At 56.1% G+C, this 18205-nt stretch overlaps 1 protein-coding gene and 1 long non-coding RNA gene across 12 annotated transcripts in view; one reads left to right on the top strand and one right to left on the bottom strand.

Moving 5' to 3' along the window:
• Positions 1-18205, top strand: part of RASA4 (RAS p21 protein activator 4) — a 37113-nt gene that overhangs the window by 9784 nt on the left and 9124 nt on the right. For 6 of the 11 annotated variants that reach the window (NM_006989.6, XM_047419706.1, XM_047419702.1 and 3 more), the window contains exons 5-17: positions 988-1117; positions 4570-4651; positions 6587-6718; positions 7021-7115; positions 10846-10963; positions 11191-11341; positions 11606-11670; positions 12416-12528; positions 12733-12925; positions 13131-13268; positions 13837-13981; positions 14521-14690; positions 16679-16816. In NM_006989.6, the coding sequence (NP_008920.5) occupies positions 988-1117; positions 4570-4651; positions 6587-6718; positions 7021-7115; positions 10846-10963; positions 11191-11341; positions 11606-11670; positions 12416-12528; positions 12733-12925; positions 13131-13268; positions 13837-13981; positions 14521-14690; positions 16679-16816 (1670 nt within the window). Of the gene's footprint in view, positions 1-987; positions 1118-4569; positions 4652-6586; positions 6719-7020; positions 7116-10845; positions 10964-11190; positions 11342-11605; positions 11671-12415; positions 12529-12732; positions 12926-13130; positions 13269-13836; positions 13982-14520; positions 14691-16678; positions 16817-18205 lie in introns of those variants that run through there. The other 5 variants (XM_047419705.1, NM_001079877.2, XM_047419707.1 and 2 more) reach the window with 5 other exon arrangements.
• LOC124901714 (uncharacterized) lies at positions 12414-13898 on the bottom strand. The gene is made up of 2 exons (XR_007060462.1): positions 13801-13898; positions 12414-13606 (listed from the first exon to the last, which is right to left on the bottom strand). It is a non-coding gene; the product is annotated as an uncharacterized LOC124901714 (long non-coding RNA).

Genomic DNA, 18205 nt, shown 5'->3' with positions numbered 1-18205 from the left:
AGGCCAAAGGCCTTTCCCACCTGCAGCCTTAGCCAGCGTCTCTGGGGTCTAGTGGCCCCAGTGAGGCTATTCCTCCGGGTGCCTTGTAGCTTCCCCATCCAGGCCTCAGACCCTCCTCCCAGCAGCCCTAGGGGAGGGCCACTCTCTTCCTGTTTTAAGATGGGGAATCTGGCTGGGTACAGCGGCCCACACTTATAATCGCAGCACCTTAGGAGGCTGAGGTGGGAGGATGGCTTGAGGTCAGGAGTTTGAGACCAGCCTGAGCAACATAGCAAGACTCCATCTTTTTTTTTTTTTTTTTGAGATGGGGTCTTGCTCTATCACCCAGTCTGGAGTGCAATGGCGCAATCTTGTAGCTTCTCCATCTGGGCCTCAGACCCTCCTCCCAGCAGCCCTAGGGGAGGGCCACTCTCTTCCCGTTTTAAGATGGGGAATCTGGCTGGGTACAGCGGCCCACGCTTATAATCCCAGCACCTTGGGAGGCTGAGGTGGGAGGATTGCTTGAGGTCAGGAGTTTGAGACCAGCCTGAGCAACATAGCAAGACTCCATCTTTTTTTTTTTTTTTTTTTTTTTTTTTTGAGATGGGGTCTTGCTCTGTCACCCAGTCTGGAGTGCAATGGCGCGATCTGAGTTCAAGCAATTCTCCTGCCTCAGCCTCCTGAGGAGCTGGGATTACAGGCATGCGCCACCACACCTGGCTCACAGGGTGAGACCCTGTCTCTAAAAACAACAACGACAAAAATGACACAATAGTGAGGGCACAGGCCCCAGGTCACTGACTTAGATTCTAATCCCAGCTCTTCCAACTGCTGTTTCTTCACCTGCGGAGCCTCAGTTTCCCCATCTGTCATTGGGGATACCAGCCCCTGCTTCACGGGTGCCTAGGGGATTCCCAGATTATGGAGGTGCCTCAAGGTGCCTGGTGGGGCTGAGGGTGGAGGGTATGGGGGTTCAGGGCCGGGTCCCTGGCTGAGCTGACCCCACAGGTTTCAGCGGGTGGGCCCACCTGACGGAGGTCGACCCCGATGAGGAGGTGCAGGGCGAGATCCACCTGCGGCTGGAAGTGTGGCCAGGGGCCCGGGCCTGCCGGCTACGCTGCTCTGTGCTGGAGGCCAGGTGAGACTCAGGGGCCTGGGGGCGGGCAGTGGGTCCCCTGCAACTAGAGAAACCCAATGAGGAAGCTGAGCCCCCCCTCGCCCCACCTCTACCTCCTGGTCCCAGAGCTGGCCACCTCCCATCAAAGCCTGCTCTCAAGAGAGGGTCTCGCCAGGCACGGCGTCTCACACCTGTAATCCCAGCACTTTGGGAGGCCGAGGCAGGTGGTTCACCTGAGGCCAGGAGTTCAAGACCAGCCTGACCACCATGGTGAGACCCTGTCTCTACTAAAAATACAACAATTAGCCGGGCATGGTGGCAGGTGCCTGTAATCTCAGCTACTCAGGAGGCTGAGGCAGGAGTCTTGAACCCAGGAGGCAGAGGTTGCAGTGAGCCGAGATGGCGCCACTGCACTCCAGCCTGGGTGACAAGCGAGACTGTGTCTCAAAAAAAATAAAAAAGAAAGAAAAAAGAGAGGGTCTGGGGAGGTTTTCTGGACTTGAAGATGCTTCTTGGGTGATTTCCACTCAAGGGGATATGTCCCTTAAGGGACAGTCTAATGTTCTCATGGAGGAACTGGAGCCATCACAGAGGAGTGGAGTAGGGGGTACGGGTGAGGAGACCCCGAACTCTGATCACACAGCCTCAGTCCCCCAGTGCTAAGGCCGGCTTCCCAATGTTTAACGCCAGTGTGAACTTGGCCTGGTGGGAGTGTGTGTAAGTGGGTCCCTCGTGGGGCTGGGGGGGTGAAAAGAGTTGCTGAAAATCTCCCGATGGGCAAATTGAGGGTTCCCCCAAGGAGGGACAGTGGTTTGGATGGTTCCATGGGCCTGAGTCACCTGTGACAGGGCCACCCCCCAACCCCCAGGGTATTTTTAGCTGCAGGCTGCACTCCCGTCTGGGCCTGGGTCTGAGTCACACTCTGTCCGTGAGAAGCGTCTTCCCTTCCGGCTCCAAAGCCACCTCCCCAAGTCGCTCCCTGCCTGTGAGGCAGGAGGGTGGCCCCCAGCCAGGCAGCCCTATGGAGCCAGTGTTCCCCCCACCCTTGAGGGGTCAGCCTGTCTAAGAGGAAGACTTCCCTTGGGCAGAGGGGTGTGGGTCGGATGATGCCCATGTTGCTCACTCTGGCTTCCCGGGAGTTATTTTCTGTCCTGGGAAAATAGAAATGGATGGAAAATGTCTGGGCTTGGGCCGAGCCTCAGCCACACCCCCACACTCGCTCACTCTCTGGCCTCTGCCATTCATTCCCCCCCGCCCCACCCCAACTCACCCGCTTCCTCCATCCTTATCCTTTCCAGGCACCAGGCTGTCTGGGGGACAGGCATGCACACGTGTGCACCCGCTCACACACGTGGCCGGGCTCTGGGACCTCGGGGCCACTTCTCCCAGGCACCCATCGTCACCCACGGAGATGGGAGGCATGGAAGCATGTCTCCCTGGCCCTCCCCTCTCTCCAGGAATCTCCCCTGTCCCATCCTCTGGGGCCACAGTGGTTGGCCTTCTAGTGAGTCCTAGCAGGGGAGAGGAATGTCCAGGCCTCTCTCAGAGTGAGGGGACTTGTCCCCCGTTGTCCTCGGCAATGAGACTCCTGCTGCAATTCCAAGTCAGCCTAAGAAGGTCCATTTGCTGCGGAGAAAGAAAGAACATTTCCTCATTTTTTCTGGGGAGATTCTCAATATTTCAGTAAAACCTTGGGGTTTTTTTGTTTTTTGTTTTTGAGACAATCTCGCTCCATCATCCAGGCTGGAGTGCAGTGGCCCGATCTCAGCTCACTGCAACCTCCACCTTCTGGGTTCAAGCAATTCTCCTGCCTCAGCCTTCCTAGTAGCTGGGATTACAGGTGTGCACCACCACGCCCGGCTAATTTTTTGTATTTTTAGTAGAGACGGGACTTCACTATGTTGGCTAGGCTGGTCTCAAACTCCTGACCTCAGGTGATCTGCCTGCCTCGGCCTCCCAAAGTACTGGGATTACAGGCGTGAGCCACTGCACCCGGGCTGTTTTTTTTTTTTTGGTGGTTTTTTTTTTTTTTTTTTTTTTGAGGCAGTCTGGCTCTGTCGCCCAGGCTGGAGTGCAGTGGCGTTTTCTTGGCTCACTGCAACCTCTGCCTCCCCAGGTTCAAGCAATTCTCCTGCCTCAGCCTCCTTCCCAAAGTGCTGGGATTATAGGAATGAGCCGCTGCACCCAGCCTCAATGTTGGGGTTTTATTAGACAGTCTTGAGGGGGAAGAAAGGCAGGTATGAGAGGCTTAAAATATCAAAGATGAGTGGGCTTTGGTGTTCTTCCACAAAGAGTTCTAAGTAGGGGATACTGGCAGGGTGCAGTGGCTCACTCCAGTAATCCCAATGCTTTGGGAAGCAGAGGTGGGAGGATCTCTTGAGGCCCAGATTTCGAGACCAGCCTGGGCAACAGCAAGATCCTGTCTCTACAAAAAAATTTAAAAATTAGCCAGGTGTGGTGGGGCACACCTATAGTGCCAACTACTTGGGAGGCTGACGTGGGAGGATTGCTTGAGCCCAGGAGGTGAAGGCTGCAGTGGGCTATGATTGCATCACTGTACTCCAGCCTGAGCAACAGAGCAAGACCCTGTTTAAAAAAAAAAAAGAAAAGAATAAAAGGGCCAGGCGCGGTGGCTCACGCCTGTAATCCCAGCACTTTGGGAGGCCAAGGCAGGCGGATCACCTGAGGTCAGGAGTTCGACGGCAGCCTGGCCAACCTGGTGAAACCCCATCTCTACTGAAAATACGAAAATTAGCTGGGCGTGGTGGCAGGCACCTGTAATCCCAGCTACTCAGGAGGCTGAGGCAGGAGAATTACTTGAACCCAGGAGGCGGAGGTTGCAGTGAGCTAAGATTGCACCATTACACTCCAGCCTGGGCGACAGAGCGAGACTCCGTCTCAAAAAAAAAAAAAAGCTGGAGGTACCGTGACTAGACTAGGGCTGTGTAAAGACCCATCTATGGAGAAAGGGCAGGGCCGCCCATCAGGGCTGCACCTCACTCCTCCACCAAGTAGAGCGACATTACTGGGGCAGACCTTCCAGAAGCACACTCTCTCCCTAAACCTGAGCCCAGTAGCGATTCACTTTTCCATTTTCCTGATGAGGAAACCGAGGCTTAGGGCAGCCCTGGGAATGGAGGGCCAGGAACATTGCCCCGGCGGTTCCCTGGCAGCACTCACACCACCCCCCTGCCACCCCCAGAGCAAGGTGCAGCCACTGGCCTGCAGCTGCCTGGTGGGAAGGACCCATGGCCTCTACCTTGGGGGGTTCTTGGCCACATGGGCGATCCTGGGGAGATGGCTATGGGAGCAGGGCCCAGAAAGGGCAGAGGCGCACTGTCCACAGTCAGCTTGCCAGGGACGGAATGTGCCCAGGCCTTTTGGCCCGCTGTGGTTACATAATGGTGGTGACAAGTGGGGGAGGGGGGGCTCAGGGACAAGTCGATGATCCAATCTTCCTCCACCCCCACCAGGGATCTGGCCCCAAAGGACCGCAATGGCACATCTGACCCCTTCGTCCGAGTGCGCTACAAGGGCCGGACACGGGAGACCTCGGTGAGGAGGCCAGAGGGCAGGGAAGGGGCAGGGGGCTCGGGGGACGTGCCAGCCACGCCCCCATTGCTCACCTCACCACCTGCTCACCATCCGCTGGTGGGACAGATTGGGGGCCACAGTCTTACAGAGGAGGCCCAGGGAAAGGGGCGACCTCTCTGAGGGGACATAATAGGTCCCAGGACCTCTGGGGCCAACTTCGCTCACTCCCGGCCATGCTTGGGGGTAAGGAGGGGATTGAGACAGCCGGAGTGGGGTTTATTTGGGAACACCCATGCTGCCTTCCCCACCCCCAGGAAATGTCCAGAGTCGAGGGCCCAGTCCTGGGCACGAAGACACCAAGGTCTGCTTTCTCAGTATAGTCGCTACTGTTTTTGTTTTGTGTTTCGTGGTGTTTTTTTTTTTTGAGGCCAAGTCCCACCCTGTCACCCAGGCTGGAGTGCAGTGGCTGGATCTCAGCTCACTGCAGGCTCTGGCTTCCCAGTTCGAGAGATTCTCCTGCCTCAGCCACACGAGTAGCTAGGATTACAGGCACACACCACCACACCAGGCTAATTTCTTGTATTTTTAGTAGAGATGGGGTTTCACCATGTTGGCCAGGCTGGTCTCGAACTCCTGGCCTCAAGTGATCCTCCCGCCTCGGCTTCCCAAAGTGCTGGGATTACAGGCATGAGCCACCACGCCCAGCCCTGTGTTTTTTGTTTGTTTTGCTCTGTTTTTAAATATTTTATTTCCATAGGTTATTGGGGAACAGGTGGTGTTTGGTTACATAAGTTCTTAGTGGTGATTTATGAGATTTTGGTTCACCCATCACCCGAGCAGTATACACTGCACCCAATTTGTAGTCTTTTATCCCTCACCCCCTTCCCGCCCTTCCCCCCCGAGTCCCCAAAGTCCACTGTGTCATTGTTATGCCTTTGCGTCCTCATAGCTTAGCTCCCACATATGAGTGAGAACATAACGATGTTTGGTTTTCCATTCCTGAGTTACTACACTTAGAATAATAGTCTCCAATCCAATCCAGGTTGCTGTGAATGCCATTAATTCATTCCTTTTTTATGGCTGAGTAGTATTCCATCGTATATATATACCACAGTTTCTTTATCCACTTGTTGATTGATGGACATTTGGGCTGGTTTCACATTTTTGCAATTGCGAATTGTGCTGCTATAAACATGCGTCTGCAAGTATCTTGGCCAGGCACAGTGGCTCACACCTGTAATCCCAGCACTGTGGGAGGCCAAGGCTGGCAGATTGCTTGAGGCCAGGAGTTTGAGACCAGCCTGGCCAACATGGTGAAACCCCGTCTCTACTAAAAATACAAAAATTAGCCGGGCGTAGCGGCAGGCCCCTGAAATCCCAGCTACTTGGGAGGCTGAGGCAGGAGAATCACTTGAACCCAGAAGGCGGAGGTTGCAGTGAGCTGAGATCGTGCCACTGCACTCCAGCCTGGGCGACAGAGCAAGACTGTTTCAAAAACAAAACAAAACAAACAAAACAAAAACATATGTGTGCAAGTATCTTTTTTGTATAATGACTTCTCCTCTGGGTAGATACCCAGTAGTGGGATTGCTGAATCAAATGGTAGTTCTACTTTTAGTTAGTTAAGGAATCTCTGCTGTTTTCCATAGTGGTTGTACTAGTTCACATTCCCACCAGCAGTGTAGAGGTATTCCCTGTTCACCACATCCTCATAGTCAGTACTGTTTTGCTGTGTGGCCTTGGATACATCTTTTCCCCACCCTGGGCCTCAGTTCTCCCTATCTCAGAAATGGGTGGGAGCTTGGACAGGACATTTTAACCTCTGCTGTGGCAGAACCTCCAAGGCGAGGAGGCTGTGGGGAACCCAGGGGAGGTGTCTAGGGCAGCTCTGCCTTTTGCCCAGCCTGGGGAGTCCAGTGGCATCAGCCTAACCCCCTCCCACCCTCCTCTGGGCAGATCGTGAAGAAGTCATGCTACCCACGCTGGAATGAGACGTTTGAATTTGAGCTGCAGGAGGGGGCCATGGAGGCGCTGTGCGTGGAGGCCTGGGACTGGGACCTTGTCAGCCGAAACGACTTCCTGGGCAAAGTGAGCACCACCGCCCCGCCCCCCCTCCTCCCCCGGCAGGCTGCACCTGCTGTCCCCCAGCACCTGGTTCCATTGCAGCCATCCCATCCTCAGGGACCTCCCTCCGGCTTCCCCAAAGAGGGACACTCAGGAAGCCTGGGACTACCCCCCCACCTCCACCGTCTGCCAGAACCAGCAACTTCCCCCCACCACCACTGGCACTCAGGGACCCTTGGAAGGGGCCCCTCCCCACTAAGAACAGTAGTTGGCAAGGAGGAGACGTAAGTCTCCCAGCTCCAGGAAAACTGCCACTATGTCCCCAGGTGGTGATTGATGTCCAGAGACTGCGGGTGGTGCAGCAGGAGGAGGGCTGGTTCCGGCTGCAGCCCGACCAGTCCAAGAGCCGGCGGCATGACGAGTAAGTGCATGGAGCTGGGCAGCCGGCCTCAAGGGGTGGGGTGGGGGCTGACATTTGGGAATTGGCTACAGGCAGGCAGGGCAGGGGGGCTGCTCAGGGTGAGAGGTCAGGAGACACAGCTCCAGGGTCCCCTCAGCCCCTGCCCACCTAGCCAGCATCCTTCTCATCCTGGCTGGGCTCCACCTCCCCTTTATTTATTATTTATTTATTTATTTATTTATTTTGAGATGGAGTCTCACTCTGTCCCCAGGCTGGAGTGCAATGGCGTGATCTCGACTCACTGCAGGCTCCGCCTCCCGGGTTCACGCCATTCTCCTGCCTCAGCCTCCCAAGTAGCTGGGACTACAGGCACCCGCCACCGCGCCTGGCTAATTTTTTGCATTTTTAGTAGAGACAGGGTTTCACCATGTTAGCCAGGATGGTCTCGATCTCCTGACCTTGTGATCCACCCGCCTCGGCCTCCCCAAGTACTGGGATTACAGGCATGAGCCACCGCGCCCGGCCCCTCCCCTTTATTTTTCCCCACAGTTCTGCATTCAGCTCAGCTCTGTCTTCTGTCTTTTTTTTGAGATGGAGTCTTGCTCTGTCACCCAGGCTGGAGTGCAGCGGCACAATCTTGGCTCACTGCAACCTCCACCTCCTGGGTTCCAGTGATTCTCCTGCCTCAACCTCCTGATTAGCTGGGATTACAACTGTGTACCACCATGCTCGGCTAATTTTTGTATTTTTAGTAGAGACAGGGTTTCACCATGTTGGCCAAGTTGGTCTCGAACACCTGACCTCAAGTGATCCACCCGCCTCAGCCTGCCAAAGTGCTAGGATTACAGGCATGGGCCACCGCACCCGGCCAGGTCTGTCTTCTTAGCTCACAGGTTGTACAGGTCTCCTGCTTTCTGCCTCTGGAAGTTTCTGAAACAAGTACTCAGACATTTTCCCTTTGAAAATTTCCCTGCAGACCTCAGACCAGGGTTCAAGTCTCCAAGGTCAGTGTCCCTGAGCCATAGCTCCAACTCCCTATGCCAGATTCTCCAGGAATAGGGTTGTGAGATAAGATAGGACACCATTGGCCAGGAGCGGTGGCTCATGCCTGTAATCCCAGCTCTTTGGGAGGCCAAGGTGGGAGGATCACTTGGGGCAAGGAGTTTGAGACCAGCCTGGGCAAGAAAGTGAGACTCCGTCTCTACAAAGAAATAAAAATTAGGCCAGGCGCGGTGGCTCACGCCTGTAATCCCAGCACTTTGGGAGGTCGAGGTGGGCGGATCACCTGAGGTCAGGAGTTTGAGACCAGCCTGGCCAGATGGCGGGCACCTGTAATCCCAGCTACTCGGGAGGCTGAGGCAGGCAGAATTGCTTGAACCCCGGAGGCAGAGGTTGTAGTGAGCCAAGATTGCGCCATTGCACTCTAGCCTGGGTGACAAAGCTAGACTCTGTCTCAAAAAAAAAAAAGAACACCCAGTTAAAACTTAATTTCAGATAAAAGTGAATATATATATATATATTTTTTTTTTTTGAGCAGAATCTCACTCTGTCACCTAGGCTGGATGGAGTGCAGTGGCACGGTCTTGGCTCACTGCAACCTCCGCCTCCCAGGTTCAAGCAATTCTCATGCCTCAGCCTCCCGAGTAGCTGGGATTACAGGCATGCACCTGTACCACCAGTACAGTGGTGATCATAGCTCACTGTAGCCTCCACCTCCTGGGTGCAAGCAATCCTCCCATCTCAACGTTCCAGGTAGCTAGGACCACCTCACCTGGCTAAATTTTTGTAGTTTTAGTAGAGATGGGGTTTCACCGTGATGGCCGGGCTTGATGTTGAACTCCTGACCTGTGCCCGGCTGTGAATACATTTTTAGTATAAAAATAACCGCTGGGCGTGGTGACTCACACCTGTAATCCCAACACTTTGGGAGTTTGAGGTGGGTGGATCACTTGAGGTCACGAGTTCGAGACCAGCCTGGCCAACATGGTGAAACACCGTCTCTACTAAAAGTACAAAAAATGGTGGTGGGCACCTGTAATCCAAGCTACTGAAGCAGGATAATTGCTGGAACCCAGGAGACGGAGGTTGCAGTGAGCCGAGATCCCACCACTGCACTCCAGCCTCGGTGACAAGAGCGAAACTCCGTCTCAAGAAAACAGCCGGGTGCGGTGGCTCATGCCTGTAATCTCAGCACTTTGGGTGGCCGAGGCGGGTGGATCATGAGATCAGGAGTTCAAGACCAGCCTGGCCAACATGGTGAAATCCCGTCTGTACTAAAAATACAAAAATTACCCGGATGTGGTGGCGGGCACCTCTAATCTCAGCTACTTGGGAGGCTGAGGATGGAGAATTGCTTGAACCTGGGAGGTGGAGGTTGCAGTGAGCCGAGATCGCGCCACTGCACTCCAGCCTGGGTGACAGAGCAGGACTCCATCTCAGCAAAAAAAAAAATAAATAAAGAAGAAGAATGACCATGCACTATTTGAGACATACCTATACTAAAAATATTCAAATTTAGGCCGGGTATGGTGGCGCATGCCTGTAATCTCAGCACTTTGGGAGGCCAAGGCAGGAGGATCACTTGAGCCCAGGAGTTCAAGACCAGCCTGGGCAACATAGCAAGACCCCATCTCTAAAAAAAATAGTTAATAAGTAAATAAAATATTCACATTTAACTGGGTGTCTTGGGTCGTTTTGCTAAATCTGGCAGCCTGTCTAGGAAGCCCTCTGGCTTGTTTGCTGTGGCCCACAGCCCTCAGTGGTTCAGCTTTGTGTCTCTGTGGAAGGCCCCAGACCCCCATTCCCCCAGTTCCCATCCTTAACAGGGTAGGAGCAGGTGGACGGCTGTGTGTCCAGCACAAGGTGTTTCCATAGAACCAGCCAAGGCCCATCTTGCCATCTTATTTTTTATTTATTTATTTTTTTTGAGACAGAGTCAGGCTGGAGTGCAGTGGTGCAATCCTGGCTCACTGCAACCTCTGCTTCCTGGGTTGAAGCGCTTCTCCTGCCTCAGTCTCCCGAGTAGCTGCGATTACAGGCACCTGCCACAATGCCTGGCTAATTTTTATATATATATTTTAATAGAGATGGGGTTTTGCCGTGTCAGCCAGGCTGGTCTTGAACTCATGACCTCAAGTGATCTGCCTGCCTTGGCCTCCCAAAGTGCTGAGATTACAGGCATGAGCCACTGCGCCAGGCCCAGGGGCCCATCTTAACGCTGCTCTGTGCATGAGGCTTGTGCTGAGCAGGGGCAGTGGGAGCCTTAGAGGTTCCCACTTGGTCCACACCCTCCTCTGTTCTGAACTTCCCTATCAGAACAGGGAAGCTGGGAAGCTCAATCTAATGTGGCAAGTTGCTGAACTGGCTCGGGTCTCAGTTTCCCTATTAGGTTGTTATGAGGGTTGGGGATTTGCTTCTGCTGTAAAGTGTACCCATGATGGTGCCATTATCTGGGAGTTGATCGATTCAAGGCTGGCAGCTCCACATACCCAAGCTTGGAGGTGGCAGGGAGCCAGACCTCGAAGACAGATAGAGGTGCCTTGAGTGCAGAGACAGGAAGGGCTTTCCAAAAACAGAAAATAAATAGCCCGGGCAGAGCCTGGGAGGCAGAGCTATGCAGGGCACCCGGATGGAGGGCATGAGCAGAGAGATGGGAAGCCGGCCCCAAGGGAAAAAACTGGAGGCCGTGGGAGTGGTGTGGTCCAGGGTGGCCTGAGTCCCTGGTGGAGAGGTCACAGGCTGCCCATTCCAGGGGCAACCTGGGCTCCTTGCAGCTGGAGGTGCGGCTGCGGGACGAGACGGTGCTGCCCTCCAGCTACTACCAGCCACTGGTGCACCTGCTGTGCCACGAGGTCAAGCTGGGCATGCAGGTGAGGGGGCCTGGGCAGGGTGGGAGGGTCCAGTGGCAGTAGGCCTGTGCGCCTGTCCTTCTAAACCCATTCTGCAGAGCAGAAACCTGAGGTCTGGGGATGTGAGGAGCTGGCCAGTGTCCAGGGCCCCGTCCCCAGCCACCCCTTGGGAAAATGTCCTCTTTCCCTGGGATGCTCTGAGGTCCTCAGAGGGAAAGGTTCGGGATCCCCCGTGCCTCTCCCTGCAGGGCCCAGGGCAGCTGATCCCACTCATCGAGGAGACAACCAGCACCGAGTGTCGCCAGGACGTGGCCACGAACCTGCTCAAGCTCTTCCTGGGGCAGGGGCTGGCCAAGGACTTCCTGGACCTGCTCTTCCAGCTGGAGCTGAGTCGCACCAGTGAGGCCTGGGAAGGAGCTGGGCCCAGAACACTGGGAGGTGTTTGGGGGTGGGTGGGCTCCTCCTGTAGGAGGCAGATGGGGTCAGAGAGGAGGGAGGCAAGGAACAGAGCCAAGGGCAGAGGTGGGACAGTGGGCTGGGAGGTGGCGAGGAGGCCCTTTATTGAGGGGCCAGCTTAGATCCCCCAGCCCCAAGGTCCTCTGTCCTCCCCCTCCCCCAAAAGCTTTGTGCCAGCCCCCTACCCACTGGGACCTCTGTTTGTAGGTGAGACCAACACCCTGTTCCGGAGCAACTCTCTGGCCTCAAAGTCCATGGAGTCTTTTCTGAAGGTGAGGTTGCATGCTATATTGTCCTCATCTTGCAAATGACAACACTGAGCTTCAGAGAGCGACAGAGGGGGCTGGGACTTCGACTCCAGTGTTCTATCTCCATATTCAGAGCCCTTTAAGGTTAAGAATGTGGCTGGGCATAGTGGCTCATGCCTGTAATTGCAGCACTTTGGGAGGCTGAGGCGGGCGGATCACTTAAGGTCAGGAGTTCGAGACCAGCCTGGCCAACATGGCGAAACCCCATCTCTACTAAAAATACAAAAATTAGCCTGGCATGGTGGTGGGCACCTGTAATCCCAGCTACTGGGGAGGCTGAGGCAGGAGACTCACTTGAACCAGGAGCCAGAGGTTGTAGTGAGCTCACGCCACTGCACTCTAGCCTGGGCCCCGTGCTAGACTCCGTGCCCCGCACCCCCCCCCCCCAAAGAGAATGTGTGTGTGATTAAAATTTAAGTTAGAGACAGTCTCACTATGTTGCCCAGGCTGGTCTCAAACTCCTGGCCTCAAGTGATCCTCCTGCCTTGGCCTCCCAAAGTGCTAGGATTACAAGGGCTAAGAATTCTAGTCATTCATTCACTCACTCATTCATTCATTCATGAATAAACAGTTTGCCCTGCATGTGTACCTGGCCCCCTCCTGGGCGGATACGGCAGGCAAACGGTGCAAGGGCGGCTGCCGGGAGAAGGTGGGCAGCTGGAGTGGGACTGGGGGAGACAGGATCAATGTGACCTGCGGTGGTCCCCAGGTGGCCGGGATGCAGTACCTGCACGGCGTCCTGGGCCCCATCATCAACAAGGTGTTTGAGGAGAAGAAGTACGTGGAGCTGGACCCCAGCAAAGTGGAAGTTAAGGATGTAGGGTGAGGCCGGGGGTAACTCCGGGGGTTGCGGGGTGCAGCGGCAGCGGGTTGGGATCAGGCCCTGTCAGCATGTGTGTTTGTGCTTCTGCCCACCCGTGTATTGTCCCCTGTGTCCGTGTCCTGGCTGCTGTGAGAGCCACTGTTCCTGTCGTGGCCCTGGCGCTGACCGCGACCTCCTCTGCCAACCCGCCCCGTTCCACGCAGGTGCTCCGGGCTGCACCGCCCGCAGACCGAGGCCGAGGTGCTGGAGCAGAGCGCGCAGACGCTGCGCGCCCACCTGGGGGCCCTGCTGAGCGCGCTCAGCCGCTCGGTTCGCGCGTGCCCCGCCGTGGTGCGCGCCACCTTCCGCCAGCTCTTCCGGCGCGTGCGCGAGCGCTTCCCCGGCGCCCAGCACGAGGTGCGCCCTCCACCCGCTGGGCTAGGCTGGGCCGGGTTGGACTGGGCTGGGGCGAGGGGTGAAGAGCGGTGGGGAACCAGGGAGCGCTGGGGAGGACCAGGGAGGCTGTGTCCCAGCGAGGGTCAGGGACGGAGCCTAAGGGGAGGGGGCTGCCAGGAGCCCTGGTCTGGGGGACTCCAGCCCGCGCTCTTCCGCACCCCTCCAGAATGTACCGTTCATCGCCGTCACCAGCTTCCTGTGCCTGCGCTTCTTCTCTCCCGCCATCATGTCGCCCAAGCTCTTCCACCTGCGGGAGCGCCACGCGGACGCCCGCACCAGCCGCACCCTGCTCCTGTTGGCCAAGGTGCGGGCCTTGCGGCCACGGGCGGGATGCACAGCTGGGTGTCCTACCGGGGCCCTGGCCTGGACTGCAGAGTGTTCCCTACCGGCTCCGGCGAGGCCACTGGCACGCCCACGTAGGCACTGCACTTCACAGTTTGCAAAGCCTTCCTGTGGCCACCTTGTCCGAGCTCCATCTCATGGATAAGGGAACAGGCCTGCGAGGGGTCGGGGGTTGCCAAGGCCGCCCATCCTGTCGGTGGTGAATCGCGGGACCTTCCAACCCGGGTCTGCTTACTCTCAGGCTGCACCTATGTGCCCGGCACCGGGGTGGGGTATCCAGTGCAGCAGCGTCAGTTAAACCTACAGAGGAAGGCCCAAGTGGTCTCAGTTATCATAAGGCATCAAACTTCATGATCCTCTCCTCCCTGATCCCTAGTGGGGCTGGAGGGGGCCCGTGGGCATGGCCTCTGTCGCCTCTGCCTCCATCGCTACAGCTGAGTAGCAAAGACTTGGGGAGGGGGGGTGGGAGGGGGTGCAGTGGCTAGGCCCCTAACCTAGCAGAACCTGGTCCTTCCTGCTGTCACCTCCAGGCAGTCCAGAACGTGGGCAACATGGACACGCCGGCTTCCAGGGCCAAGGAGGCTTGGATGGAGCCGCTGCAGCCCACCGTGCGCCAGGGCGTGGCGCAGCTGAAGGACTTCATCACCAAGCTCGTGGACATCGAGGAGAAGGACGGTGAGCGCCGCCCTGCACAGACCCGCCCACAGCCTACTGCTGACGTTTGCTCCGCCCTTGAGCCCCACGGCCCCACCCATCGCTGTTTGTTCCTCTCGTGGCCCCACCCACCGCCTGCTGTTGGCATTTGCCAGGCCCCCAGGCCATAGACCCACGCACCACTGTTTGTGCTTCCTGTGACCCTGCCCACTGCCTGCCGTTGACGTTTGCCCCACCCCTAGACCCATGGCCTCACCCCCCCATCATCTGCGCCTGTTGACATTTGCTCCATCCTTGAGCTCCATAGCCCCGCCGCCACCTGCTACTGACGCGTGTCCCGCCTCCAAGCCCATGGCCCTGCCTTCCTCAGTCCACCTGTCACCCCGCTCACCACCAGCTGTTGATGTTTGCTCCGCCCTTGAGCCCCATGACTACGTCCACTGCCTGCTGTTCAGATTTGCTCAGCCCTTGAGCCCCATGGCCCCTCCCACTGCTCCGCTCCCCCCAGTCCCGCCCTCATTCACTGGGCTCTCTATTCCCCTCCCTCCCTGGCCTGGCAGAGCTGGACCTGCAGCGGACGCTGAGTTTGCAGGCGCCACCTGTGAAGGAGGGGCCACTCTTCATCCACAGGACCAAGGGCAAGGGCCCCCTCATGTCCTCCTCCTTCAAGAAGCTCTACTTCTCCCTCACTACCGAGGCCCTCAGCTTCGCGAAGACGCCCAGCTCCAAGGTGGGTAAGGAGGGAGGCCGGCAAGTGGGGCTCTGAGAGGCCGGCAAGTGGGGCACCTGTCCCCTTCCTTGGAGCCCACTTGAGGTACCCCCGGGGTCAGAGAAGAAAGCCAGGTGTGTGGCATCTGTACTGCTTGTCAGAACCTAGGAGGGCCGGGCACGGTGGCTCACGCCTGTAATCCCAGGACTTTGGGAGGCCAAGGCGGGTGGATCACTTGAGGTTAGGAGTTTGAGACCAGCCTGGCCAACATGGAGAAACCCCGTCTCTACTAAAAATACAAAAAATCAGCCGGGTGTGGTGGTGGGTGCCTGTAGTCCCAGCTACTCGGGAGGCTGAGGCACGGGAATCGCTTGAACCTGGGAGGCAGAAGTTGCAGTGAGCCGAGATCGTGCCACTGCACTCCAACCTGGGCAACAGAGCAAGACTCCATCTCAAAAAAAAAAAAAATGAATATGGAGGAAGTTGATCCGACCTTACCAGGTTGTTGAGGATTAAATGAGATGATCTCCCTAAGGGTCCTGACCCAGGGCCTGGCAGGTAGTACTATTTAGGCAAATGATATTATTAAAGATAGTATATCACCTGGGCTGCTAGATGAGTAGGAGGCTAGGGCAAACAGGGGAGGCTTCCTGGAAGAGGCAGGAATATAGAAGCACGGAATCTTGGCGTGGGAAGGGATCTCAAAGATCACCTTGTACAGCCCTCTCTGAGTCATGGGTCACCTCTCCTGCAAGCTCTCTTCTCCCAGGAAGGGCTGAGGACATACTTCCTCCATGGACCTGGTGACTGCTTGCTGTACACCTGCCCCCAGTCATGCAGGCTATGGGGATGATCTTCCAGGAGTACCCAGCCTAGCCCTGGGCAGGTGAGAGCGGGCTAGGAGTAGGTGAAGGAGCTCATCACCCACCCTGTTCTCAACCAGCTCAGGGGTCCCACCAGATGAGGGGCCCGCCCCTTCCGACCAAAGACCCCTCAGATGATGATAATTATTTTTTGAGACAGGGTCTTGCTCTGTCACCCAGGCTGTAGTGCAGTGGTGCGATCATAGCTGACCGCAGCCTCAAACTCCTGGGCTCAAGCAATCTTCCTACCTCAGCCTCCCGAGTAGCTGGGACTACAGGCACGTGCCACCAAGCCCAGCTAATTTTCTTTAACTTTTTTTTTTGCGGAGATGGGGTCTTGCTATGCTGCCCAGGCTGTTCTCAAACTCCTGGCCTCAGGCAATCCTCCTGCCCCAGCCTCCCAAAGCACTCAGATGATTATTATACATCTTCCTTGCCAGGGTTGAAAGATTTGACTACATGGGCATTATTTAATTCTGGTCCCATTTTTTTTTTTTTTTTTGAGATGGAGTTTCGCTTTTGTTGCCCAGGCCAGAGTGCAATGGTGCGATCTTGGCTCACCGCAACCTCCGCCTCCCGGGTTCAAGCGATTCTCCTGCCTCAGCCTCCCAAGTAGCTGGGATTACAGGCATGCGCCACCATGCCCGGCTAATTTTGTATTTTTAGTAGACACAGAGTTTCTCCATGTTTGTCAGGCTGGTCTCGAACTCCCAACCTCAGGTGATCCGCCTTCCTCGGCCTCCCAAAATGCTGGGATTACATGTGTGAGCCACTGCGCCCGGTCAGGATATGACTATTAGAGCCTGGGACTACAAAAGCAAGTTGGAAAATTAATAAATGCAAAGTCACAAAGCCTTGGCCACGGCCGGATTGACTTTGTAGCCCAGGGAATGCTGGCTGTCCCGACACTACCCCAAAGCTCACACCTCCGAGGCCTTCTGGGAGTGCCCCCCAGAGAGGCCAGGTCCTCCTCTCCCAGTTGCTGGGCACTTGGTCACCATCAGTCTGTGCTCTGCCCTGGCTGAGGTCACTCTAGGTCTCCCATGCCTACCCCTGGTGCTGCAGAAGGGGAGACTGAGGCCCAGAGATGGGGAATGGAATGCCCCTGGCTAGGTCCCTGAGCCTCCTCCTCCCTGCCTGCCCCAGAAAAGCGCCCTCATCAAGTTAGCCAACATCCGGGCAGCGGAAAAGGTTGAGGAAAAGAGCTTTGGCGGCTCGCACGTCATGCAGGTCATCTACACGGACGACGCCGGCAGGCCCCAGACTGCCTACCTGCAGTGCAAGGTGCGGGGAGGGGAGCGGGTGCTGTGGGAGTGGCCTGAACACTGTGGGAGTGGCTTGGGTGCTGTGGGAGAGGCCTGGGTACTGTGGGAGTGGCATGAGTCCTGTGGGAGTGGCCTGGGTATTGTGGGAGAGGCCTGAGCTCTATGGGAGTGGCCTGGGTGCTGTGGGAGTGCCCTGGATGCTATGGGAATGCCCTGGGTGCTGTGGGAATGGCCTGGGTGCTATGGGAGTGGCCTGAGCTCTGTGGGAGTGGCCTGGGTGCTGTGGGAGGGGCCTGAGTGGACTGGATGAGAAAAGAGTTGATTGAGCTTCTCGCCCCGCTACCAGCTACATCAGGCACCGCAGGGTGTGTCTAATCTGGGAGGTGTCAGGGACAGGTGTGTGTGTGTTGTCCAGGGGCCTGAGCCCCCAGGAGGCCATGGCCCATGTCTTTCCCTGGGCATCCATGTGTAGGTCTGTGTGTGGGCCAGTGCACAGACAGGTGCATCCCCGTGATGTGAAATTTGCACGTTGCACCCGTTTGTTGGAAACTATTTCCAGATAACTGAGATGGGGGCCAGGCACGCTGGTTCACACGGATAATCCCAGCATTCTAGCCAGGGCAACAGAGCAAGACCCTTTCTCTAAAACAGAAAGTCTGAGCTGGCACCTGTGTGGTTCTGTGTCTGTATCAATGCCTAATAATCAAACATTATGCTGTGTGTGGCTCTGGGTGCATGTTCTCAAGTAACCTTCTCATCTGTTCCTTCATTAACTCATTCATTCATTTATTTAAAAAATACTTACTGAGCACCTCCTAGGTTCCAGGCATGATTCTAGGTGAGGGGATACAGTGGCAGATGAGGCAGAGTCCTGCCCTCATGGAGCTGATATCCCTGGGAGAAGATGGGCCAATAAATACATGTTTCAAATGTCGGCTCATGCCTGTAGTCCCAGTACTTTGGGAGGCTGAGGTGGGAGGATCACTGGAGGCCAGGAGTTTGAGAACAGCCTGGCCAATGTAGCAAGACCCCATCTCTACAAAAAGAAAATTAGCCAGCCATGATGGCATGCACCTGTGATTCCAGCTACTTGGGAGGCTGAGGCAGGAAGATAGCCTGAACCCAGGAGTTGGAGGCTGCAGTGAACTATGATCACACCACTGCACTCCAGCCTGGGCTACAGAGTGAGACCCTGTCTCTTAAAAAAAAAAAAAAAAAAAAAAAAGCAAATTGTGATAGTGACTTGAAGGGAACCAGAAGGGACTAAGGGAGCAAGGGAGGGAAGAGAGTGGGGTATAGCAGGGAGCGGTCTGTCCTATTAAGAGTGGTCAGGGAGAGTACAAAAAGTAGCTGGGTGTGGTGGTGTGCGCCTGTAGTCCCAGCTACTTGGGGGGCTGAGGCAGGAGAA

This window comes from Homo sapiens, chromosome 7 (genome assembly GCF_000001405.40).
Source record: "Homo sapiens chromosome 7, GRCh38.p14 Primary Assembly".
Classification (NCBI taxonomy): domain Eukaryota; kingdom Metazoa; phylum Chordata; class Mammalia; order Primates; family Hominidae; genus Homo; species Homo sapiens.
This window is presented reverse-complemented; position numbering and strand designations above follow the sequence as displayed.